We start from the raw sequence: 12,007 nt of genomic DNA, 5'->3' as shown, positions 1-12,007 counted from the left end.
ACAAACCCCACACATCCTGCACATGTATCCTGGAATCTAAAATTAAATTAAATTTTAACAAAAGAAATACAAGACAAACAAAAAGTGGGCAAATGACATGAACAGACACTTTTCAAAAGAAGACATACATGTGGCCAACAATCATATGAGAAAAAGCACAATAATACTGATCATTAAAATATGCAAATCAAAACCACAGTGAGATACCATCTCACACCAATCAGAATAGCTATTATTAAAAAGTCAAAAAATAACAGATGCTGGTAAGGTTGTGGAGAAAAAGGAACACTTATACACTGTAAGTGAGAGCATAAATTAGTTCAGCCATCGTGGAAGACAGTGTGGTGATTCCTCAAAGACCTAAAGACAGAAATACCATTTGATCCAGTAATCTCATTACTGGGTATATACCAAAAGGAATACAAATTTTTATATTATAAAGACTTGCATGCATATATTCATTGCAGCACTGTTCACAATAGCAAAGACATGTTATCAAATTCCCATCAGTGACGGACTGGATAAAGAAAATGTAGTACATATATATAATGTAATGCCGTGCAGCCATACAAAAAAAAATGAAATCATGTCTTTTGCAGGAACAAAGATGGAGCTGGAGGCCATTATCCCTAGCAAACTAACAGAGGAACAGAAAACAAAATACCACATGTTTTCACTTATAAGTTGAAGCTAAATGGTGAGAACATATGAACACACAGAGGGGAACAATACACACTGGGGCCTATTGGAGGGTGGATGGTGGGAGGAGGGAGAAGATCAGGAAAAATAACTAAGGGTACTAAGCTTAATACCTGGGTGATGAAATAATTTGTACAACAAACTCCCATGACACAAGTTTACCTATGTAACAAATCTGCACTTGTACCCCTGAACGTAAAAGTTAAAAAAAAAAACAAAAACCTTTTGTAAAATAGGAGAGGTCATTATTATTATTGGAAGGGTGAACAAGAGAGAGTAGAACTGTTTTTACTGTTATTTCATGCAACAGATTTATACAGACTGACGGTCAAACACCAGGAAGAATTATTGTGTCAGCTTCATGTAAATGTAGTCTTGCTGACTGAAATAAAATAAATATAATTAGGGCCATCACCTGTATGATTAGAATCTCCAGCAATTACAACTCACAATGAAGCAAAGAAACTCCTGTGCTATAGGAACAATATTATTCTCAAATGAGCTCTCCAGATTGACTGGTTACAATAAACAAATTCCCAAAATTCTAACCTCTCAATCACAATTTGCTCTGTAAGCACAAAATGTTTCAATCTATAACTGCAGATATTTAATAGCTATTGCTTTGTCTATACTATCAAAAATAATTTTTTAAAAATGAAATAATAAAATCCTTAAAACCCCATTAGATTCATTCATCTTGATTTTAGGCAAAAATGTGGTTCTTTACCTAGATTATCAAGAGAATTATTTCAATATACACTTAACGAGCAAGCGTAGATATACCTTTATTTATCTCCATTCGCTACTCAAATTACTAGAGCCATTCTGACATGGTTTTCTCATTTAACTGCCCTTACTGCCCTCTTCCCATGTTTCACTTTCAGCTCACCTCATCTTCAGATGCTGGAAACAGCATAGACCATGAATGGCACTTCCAAGTATCCTCTCATATCAGTAACCTCTTTCTTTGTTTTGACATCTGATAGATATTGAACTTGGCCTCTTTAAAGAAAATGATGCAAAGCCCTCAAAAGGAGGACTTGTAATAACTTTACATTCTGAGTTGTTGCTGGTCCATGAATCAAGTGATTTCTATTCTAGTTCTGGTTCTTCCACTAATTGGTTGCAAGTAACTTGGGCGAGTAACATTACATTTCTGATCCCCAGTTTCAGCAATTATTAATAAACACATTAGACTGGATGTTCTCTAATTGATTTTCTGGCTTTTATATTCAATGTTTCCAATAGTAAAATGAAATGCTTTCTCATGAATATAATCTACAGTAATTAAGGTTTAATTAGTCAATTTGATATTACCAAATATCAAAGGAACAGCAGTTTATCACAATTAAAGCACTCAATGCTAAACTGGACCAAACTTACTCTGGTTGATTGTCTAATTCCTATCTGCTTGAGTCTGATACTGTCAACTGTAGGAATAATGTTTGTGAAGGAAACAGACAGCTGAAATTACAAAAGCCAAAAGTGGAAAATATATGGGCCTATATTACAAATGCTTACCAAAGTCCATTCTGTTACTTAAGTTTCTCCAAGCTCTCTTTTACCTCTTTTTCTATTCCACCCCACTCTCACTAATGCCATCTCACTAATATTCTTTCGATTATTCATTGTTATAGGTTGGAGCTTTTCAAGGTAATCGTTAGTGATCACTTCTTATCTTAAAAAACAAAAACAAACAAACTTCAAAAAATTCACAACTGTAACTTGTCTTGTTCCAGAAATAATTTAGGACATCTTAAGAAATACACACAGTAGAAAAATAAAATATGTTTTTAGTTTGGAAGAAATTTGAGGTAACAAAAAATTAAGGGTAATAAAATGTGATGTGGTGCCGAGAGATAAGTACAGAACATATATACCACAAGATCCTATGAACATAGTAAAGAGAAATCACAAATATGTCACGACCTTTTGATCAGTCAGCAGGAAAAGAAAAACATGACTAGTTATGTAATTCACTGCGTTTGTAAGATAAAGATAAATCAATTTCTCAGAAGCACAGAGAGAAATTCTCTCACAGACTCCTATAAGAAGGTTTCTTTGTCATGTGGTGAACCAAGAAACTTAATCCCTACAGTAAATATGTCACAAAGCCCCACAGGGTGGTTTCTGATGACATCCTTCAATATAAGCTGGCAACATAAGCCAAAGTGACAGTATAATGAAATCCATAGTACAGGAATGTTGATAAAATGTGGTGATCTAGTTTAATCCAATGATTGATTTTTATATTATTGAGAATATTGTTGTAGTAAACTTCTCAATAGCCATGGTATGGTAGTGCAGTGAAGATGGTCCACTGGAATGAGTATCTGAAATTCAGAGTGACAGTTCAGTGACCGGCCAAATGTTTTATCAGTCTGCCAAGCCAGAAGTGTAACTGCCATTTTTTAATGAAACTGGGTTGTTTAACAGGGACAAGTGTCAACATGGAAGGTCAAGCCATTCATGTTATGTGGAGACTAAGGGAGAACCCACTGGCAAGGCAACGGTCTCCTTGAGAAGACAGGTCATCTACGCACAGACAACAGAGCAGGTGGGAGCCCCAGCTTCTATGCCACAAAACAGAACCGTAATTTAAGTATGTGAAAATTTTAAAGCAACTAAAACCAAACAATCTACCTTGCCTGGTAAATAAGAAATCAAATCTCTAGAAAACATTCATTTGAAGTCTAGAGCTTGAAGCAATAAAACTTCCTAGTATGCCCTAAAAAGATAAAAATCATCGCAATCTAGATTTCTAAGCATCAACTGGATGAGATAGCCTGTCATGGAGCAGCATTATTATTTATACACCAATTTGAAACTGGAGGCCTGTTGAAGCAAACATGACACCTTAGTTTTGGAAGAGTTGATATGTGATCTTTTCTGCTCTGAAGACTGTTTCTAGTCTGGTATTAAAAAGTTGCTGTCTACACAGAAGAAAATGCTTAGTTTCCAGTACTTCAGAGTGAAGGGGAGGGCATAATCCTTGTTTACAACTAGCTGTTTTTCTGTATGTTATCTGGCAATCCCTTAAACCCAAATCTTCTTAATTCCTTTTCTCACCTTCATTTCCTCCACTACTGAAACAGTCTAACACATAGTAAAACTGTCAATAAATATTTATTGAATGATAAATCCATGTCAAAATAAGACATTCACAATATATCCTACTGAAAGAACTTATAACAGGGCCCACTTTTCTCGATTAGTGATACATCTTTTAAAGTCATTGATTAAAATGCGTATTTCTTGGCTCACTCTCAGAAATTAAGATTGATTTAGTTTCTGGAAGGGTCACAATGTCCACCTTTTAACAATCATCCCAGATAATTCAGATGCAAAAGATCCAGAAATTAAGGTCTCAAAAGCACTGCAAATGTTAAATGTAGGTTCTATATGAACATCACCAGCCCAGGGCCTTAGCCCCTACCTGCTTTCTATCCATGATCAACGGTGTATGGGGAAGGGAAGGTGTCTCAATTAAAACTTTAAACAATCATGTTAATACCAACAACTACTCCTCAAGGTGGTAAAGTGTAAAATAGAGGTGAATAGTGGAATACCTATGTCAAAAATCTATGCTTTTTAAAAAAATACTTGCTTGAAAAACTCAGGCTTATAATTTATCTAGCAAAGCTTTTTAGAAGGAATAGATGTTGAACTAGTAAGTCTATAATTTGAGATGAAAAAGGATATAATTATCTAAAAAGGAAGCTTAACTGCATTCTGGCTTTATAAGCAAGTGTTTTGATAGCCCAGCAAAAAGCCTGGGATCCACAAATTTCAGGGCATTAGCAGACCTTTTAGCCAAATACATCTCACATAGATGTATTTTACCCAATTTTTTATTTTGTTTTGTTTTGTTTCTTAATTCAATTCTCAAAGAGCCTCTTGGGTTATCTAATGGTTCTAATATATACACTTTTAGGACAGAAACTGGGACTCCTTTAATTTTAGGGGCCAGATACAAACACCTGGCAATGCTATAAGTTGTAGGTGGTTATTTCTAAGAAGGGAATGAGTGTCTCTGGACGGGCCACTTGGATGCAATGAGTTTTTCCTGCATAGCAACTATGTAAAGTTAAACTGTTTGCCTGATCACGTTATTTATTCCTTCAAATAATTTTTGAGCTTCCACTAAATGTCATGAACTCTCACAGGTGTTTAGAAGGCAGAGGTAAATTAATCCAAGTGTCTACTTTCTAATGCTCACATTCTGTGACTTGGTTAATTATACTAATAACATAGTAATACAGGAAAACATAAGGCACTGTGGTAATACCTACCCAAGACGGGCACTATCTCAGGCTCAAAGAAAGAAAATAAATGTTATAAAATATCTCAAGAAGAAGTGATGCCCCAATTAAGTCTTAGATAAGGAAAATAGAAGTTAGGAAGGCAGGGTCAGGAAGGCATCTCAAGGCATTCCAGAACATAACATGTGAGTAACTGAGTGATAGCACATGAATGAAGCTGAAAAGTCATGAAGGATCCAGATCAGGGTATACTTTATCTTAAAAGCCATGTGGAGCTTTGAAATATTAGAGTCAGACAAGTGAATTCTCAGTGGAACAGAGAATCACTATAAGGACATCACAGAGAGAACTAAGCCTTATTTTAATTAGAAAAGTATTACTTATCTGCCAGGCACGATGGCTCATGCCTATAATCCCAGCGCTTTGGGAGGCCAAGGCAGGTGGATCACCTGAGGTCAGGAGTTTGAGACCAGCTTGGCCAACATGGTGAAACCGCATCTCTACTAAAAATACAAAAATTAGCCAGGCGTGGTGGCAGACACCTGTAATCCCAGCTACTCGGGAGGCTGAAGAAGGAGAATTGAGGCAGAGGTTGCAGTGAGCCGAGATTGCGCCACTGCACTCCAGCCCTGGCAACAGAGCGAGATTCCATGTCAAAAAAAAAAAAAGAAAGAAAGAAAAAAAAAGGAAAGTATTACTTATCATGAATGTTCTTTTCATTTAGGAATGCTGGCCCCCAACAAAGGGAGAGCATTAAGCCAATAGGTTTTATCACTACAATGTGTAATTATATTAGAAAAACACTGATCCTTAGTGGAATATGACAGTGTCATAAGTGTGATGATCACTCTTGGTTATTTCTCATTCCTGTCCTTCTTCATAACATGAATGAATATGTAGCTAAAATGAGTGGATAATGGTCATCTTTTTCCTAAAGCTTCTCAGATACAGGGGGGAAAAAAATCAGTAATCCATCTTTAGAGTAACTTTTTTTGCAGGGTGATAAGGCATACCGAAGGAAAAAAATAAGTTTCCATAGTCACTGGAAGAATTTTGGTAGTTAAAAATGTTATAACAACAGTATTTCAGGATCACATGGCCTTCCAGGCTCGCTCTTTCCTGTTTATTTGTGATTATATACTTCAACAACATCCTAGGTTATTACTCCACCTAGTCCCCCCAGCTTTCTCATCATTTTAAACTAAACAGGTCTTAAAGTGAAGAATATCTTTGCATAGCATCATTCATTTTCAAAGGAAATTAGGTGGAGACAACCCACATTTAGAGAAGCAGTAGGTAGGCATTAAAGGGCATTTGTCCTCTAGATTTATCTTTTACTCATGAATGACCTCATCACAGAAAGAAATTAGCATAATTTATATCAATAATTTGTTTCTGTGATGTGTGAAGAACCCCACAATAAATTAAAAATGTTTTATGACTGCATTTTATCAGCTTATTTACCCTTATTTATATTTAGGACTGCAAAGTCACATTGATAGAGTTATGAAAATGGCCCATGGCCTGAAGCCCTGGTTAGTTTATAGACCAACAGGAATGAAGCTGTCTTATCTGAGTGATTAGAAAGGCTTTGCTGAATTTGACTTGTTAATTATAACACTTGCCTCATTGTTGAAGGGCTGCCTCTAATTCTCTAGCTTCCCAAGTTAAGAGGTCACCTAAATGGAGTTGCTATCTTTGGTGTAAACTGGTCAATCACTTCGTCAAACAGATTCATTTGATTTGTCTTTTAAAGCAACCTTTTGACTTGTAATCATCCACATTCTCTTCATGCTTTATTTCACTTTATTTTACTGGAGCGCATTTTAGAATGTTTGTCATGAAAAGAGCTACATAAATATTAATGTATTGATAGTGTTATGGCATTTCAAACCTATATTTCACTTCATGGGTTTTAAGAGCTACAAAATTTACTGACTGCACAGAAAATATAGGTATAATGGACTTACTGAAATGCCCCAAATACGATAAAACATATGAATTATTAATCCCATGAAAGTCAGTATGATCCTGTTTAAATGCCAAATTTTCTGAACCAATCTTGGATTTTTTTTTTCACTAAGAGATAAAATTTCAGTTGACAGATAAATATAATGTGCCCTATAATTTTTGAATTTTAAAGTTAATTTGGACGTATATATTATAAAGTAAACAAAATCATAAATTAAGACACATCTAGACTGAAAAGGGTACTCTAACTTAAAGCTACATGGTCATACCTCAACTTTCCCGGCTGTGCTATGAACCCTACATGAGGTCATGAGGTCAAGAGTCAACAAAGTCAACAACTGCCTTACAATTTGGAAATTTAACAATTTCCAACTAAACATTTTGGATAAAAAAATAAAATGACACTTAAGGAGCATTCCATACAGTCAAAAAGGGATGAAAATAGCTCACCCTGAGATATTCTTTACCTGTTGTGGCACAGGGAGAAATTTAAGGAAAGGGAGATTCTGAACAGCACAGATGCTATATAAAACTACTGAATTTTCTGTCTTTAACCATATAAAGCTATATAAAAATGCCAATTTACTCAGTGCCTTATTATCATGTAGCTAGTGAGAGGGCAAAATCTGTGGGAAAGAAAGTGGGTGAACTGGGTATTCCTTCTTCCAGAAGTGTTTGACAAGTACTAACAATACAGACTGCATTGTACTAGGCACTTGAGGGATGCAAAATGAGAATATAGAGCTTCAGTCTTAGAGAACTTAAAATATTGTTCAGGAAGAGAAAGCAAGAATGAAAACATACACCTAGACAATAGAAACAAATTAGAATTCTGCCAGGTAATACAAGCTGCATTGACAAAGGTGAGTCATGAAGATTGCTTTGTGTAGGGATGTCTTGACTTTAATTTTGATAGAAATGATTTTAGTGCATTAATAAAGAGGAAATTTGACAGTATGCTCAGCAGGAAAATGCAACAAGAGGCAAGACAAAGAAATTGTGAGTGATGTGTGAGATGCCAAGTGACCACTTTTAGTTAAATGAATAATTGAATAAGGCTTTATTTTCATCTCACATGAAAAGAATATGCATTAGTCTTGGAGTAGTGATATGCCAATATTTCAATAGCATTTCCCTCCCCCACACTTTCATATTATGATAGTTTTTACAGAACAGTAATTATAGGTTGTGTCTTATGCTCATAAAATAATATATACTATTCCAGGTAAGAATCACATGAAATACATGAAATAAGTTTTATAAATCCTTTTTTAGAAGATAAAGGAAGTGAAAATTTGTTAATTGCAAATTGTGCAGCAAACAATATAGTATATTTCATCTAAATTTTCCAAATGTTCTCCTCAAAGTGTGTGTCGTTGGCTCAATCACTTAAATTTTTAATTTCAGGGTTCTGCTTTGAAAAGTAAAAGCATCAAACCAGATTTCCAAAGCTTTTCAGCTTTGATGGTTAAGAATCATTTAAGTTTCAATATCTTCCTCTCTCTTTACCTTTCTCATCTCCTCTTCAAAACAACAACAAACAAACGAACAAACAAAAAGAAAAAAGGGGCAATGAACTTTTCTCTCTCTTGGACCAAATCCTTGGATGAGGAGGACAAAGTTAGTTGAACATCAACAGAATCAGTGTTTCTTCAGAAAACAATTGATACAGAAAATGAAAAATTAGAATGGAATAATGGAATAGGCAAAGATAGACTAGAATGAAATTTGCCAATAACCCAAATCACTAATTTAAAAAGAAATAAACAAAATTCCATGCAACAGGAAAAACAGAATATACAAAATGATCAAACAAGACATATCTCTGGGTTTGAATTTCAAGGAAAAAAAATTAAGTTTTAAGGCAAAAAAAATTCAGGAACTTAAAAAAGATGGGATGGAAAGAGGAAGACGGAGGTTGCTATGACACACTAGCTCAAACTTCTTAACAACAGCATCAGCAACATTCTGAAGGAAAAAAATAGTAGTAACTTAAACTTAATTTATACAGTTTGATATTCAAATTTAAGGGAAACATCTTTAAAAATGAAGAATTAGAAATGATTATTCCTTTTTGAAAATAACATGACTCCAAAATTTTGTCATAAATGATAGATGTAAAAGACAAAAGGAAGAAGAAGAAGAACAAGATGAAGAACAGGAGAAGCAGGCCGGGCACGGTGGCTCACGCCTGTAATCCCAGCACTTTGGGAGGCCAAGGTGGGCAGATCACAAGGTCAAGAGACTGAGACCATCCTGGCCAACAAAGTGAAACCCCGTCTCTACTAAAAATACAAAAATTAGCTGGGCGTGGTGGCGCATGCCTGTAATCCCAGCTACTTGGGAGGCTGAGGTAGGAGAATCACTTGAACCCGGGAAGCGGAGTTTGCAGTGAGCTGAGATTGTGCCATTGCACTACAGCCTGGGCAACAAGAGCGAAACTCCATAAAAAAAAAAAAAAAAAAAAAAAAAAAAAAAACAGGAGAAGCAGATTGAACACGGGAAAAAATGTATGTTTGTATATCTGAAGATGAATTTACATGGAAATAAAATTTTAATAGGCAAATGTTTGAAAACTTGATGCTAAAGAATAATCACATAAAAACCTGAAGGCAAAAATGAGTAAAACATCCTAACTTAATATAAAAAGATTTAAATTGGTTCAAAAATGTATAATTTGTCCTATATTGTATATAAAACATGTAAAGACAAAAACTGCTTAACTGCTTAATTTGTCCTATATTCTATATAAAACACGTAAAGACAAAAACTGCTTAAGAAAGATTAAAAGTAAAAAGATGGACAGATTTACAGCAAAGCAATAATTTTAAGAAGAAAGTTATAGAAATATTATTGATTTCAAAGGAAGTTTAATCCAAAAAAAGTTAATGAAGCAAAAAGAACATACGATGAGGTTATAACTCTAATAATAAATCTTTATCCAACAAATAACAAAGCATCACAGTACCTAAATAATGAAATGTAGAAAATACACTAAAAAAATCAATAGAAAGAAGATATTAATTTACATCAATAAGCTCATGAAAAGTCTAGTAAAACAACAAAAATATGTAGCATTTCTAAATATATTATTTATATATAGTATGCTATATTTATATTCATTTATAGATTTATTTTATTTAAATATATTTATGTTAATGTTCAAGTCAAATTCTACATCTCTCAAAGAAAAGCTATATGTTATTTTATGGAAGCCATAAAATATTTTTTAATTGATTGTACTTTACGACATAATGGAAATGTTCATATATTTCCCAAAATGTAGGTACTGCAGACATTTTCACTATAAAAATTCTTAAAATTAATAACAAAAGTATAAACAAAAACAATGTCAAGATACATTTCAAGCAATCCCAAGGTTAAAGAAGAAACCAAAACTCAAATTGCAAAATTAGTAGAAATTAATGAAACATATCAAAACCTATATAATATGGCTAAAGCTATGCCACAGAGGAAAATGTGCTACTGAACCAGACAAATCACAGTGAATCAATTCGGTGACTGAATCAAGAAGATAGCTTTAAAAATGACCTATAGAACACAATTATGATTCTGTAGAAAGAAAGAAGTTGCTGATAGTTATAAATCTATAACTTTTTTTATTTCTATAAGAAATAGAAAAAATAGCATTAAAAAATAGGTAGCTTTAAAAAATATTTTTAAGTTTCTTTTTTATTAGAGATGGGGTCTTTCTATGTTGTCTAGGCAGGACTCAAACTCTTGGGATCAAGTGATCCTTCCAACTCAGTCTCCCAGTAGCTGGAACTAGAGGAAGAGGTAATTATTTGGAAAGAAAATATAATAGATCATAAAACATACTAATTAAGAATAAAAGGCAAAGCAAAAAATTACCAAATTAGAAATAATAGAACACTAATCATAGATCTTGAGAAAAGTTAAAAAATGACAATGGAATTATTTAAAAGCTCTGTATAAATTTTTAAGCTAAATTAGATTATTTTCTGTGAAAATAAGCTACAATTAAACACTAAAACATATGTGCTTCCAAATAAGCAGTTTAACACAAAAATTCCTTTGTTGTTTTACTTAATAAATAAATCTCACGCTGTATTACATTACAGTGAAAGAATCAAATCTTTGTTTTTTTTTTTGAAGTCAGGTAAACACTGATATAATGTGTGACAAATACGCCACAGATAATACTAACCAGTCTCACAAATGAATATTTATTTCTAATCCAACATTTTCAAAGGGAAATATGGATGTCAGTGGTAGATGAAAACAATAACTCCTTAGGATCATAGGAAGTTTATAACAAAAATATAAGAATTACTCAATAACAGGAAGTCAATAATGCAATACATAACTGATAAGTCAAATGAAAACAAATACCATTTTCTTAATAAATGTCAGTGAGATAGATGTTTGTCAAAATTTAAAATCTATTTCTGATTTTAAAAACTTATCAGTAGACTAAAACTAGGACTAACTCTAACATGAAATTATATATATATATGTCATCTTAAGTGAGCATGATTTTTCATGATAAAAATTTGAACTATTCTATTGGAGCCAAGAACCAAAAAAAATCAAGGAGCCGGGGGAGGATTGTAGCTCATAACACCCCCTATTAGCATATTTAGTTAACCTTGATCTGGAAGTACTAATGTAATCGACCCTTACCATTTTTGTCCAGAGCTCTAGCATCTGATTATGCAGAGCTCATACCACTGGTAGAGCCAGTTTCTCACTTTCTGGGTCCTTATGGCCCGTAGAAAAAAGGCATATGAATTTGACTGGAGCTTTGCAATGCAAAGAAGCCAGGAGCATTGAAAATCAAGGAAGGAGGGTGTGCAGACAGTGGCAGCAAACTAGCCATGCCAGGCTCAGAGGTACTCTATCAAGTGCTGGCATGATAGGTGGTGCTTGCCATGGCATCTATGTAGAGCAGTGGCAGCAAGGTTGTCACCAAAGAGATTGCATGACATGATTTTGCTTTGGTTTTTGCTGACAGTCTTCTGTTACTCTTCCAGGTATTTTATTATCTAAATTCATTTTCTGATTAAAGAAACCAGAATCAGGTACTACTGCTT

Source organism: Homo sapiens, chromosome 5, assembly GCF_000001405.40.
Source record: "Homo sapiens chromosome 5, GRCh38.p14 Primary Assembly".
Classification (NCBI taxonomy): Eukaryota; Metazoa; Chordata; class Mammalia; order Primates; family Hominidae; genus Homo; species Homo sapiens.
This window is presented reverse-complemented; position numbering follows the sequence as displayed.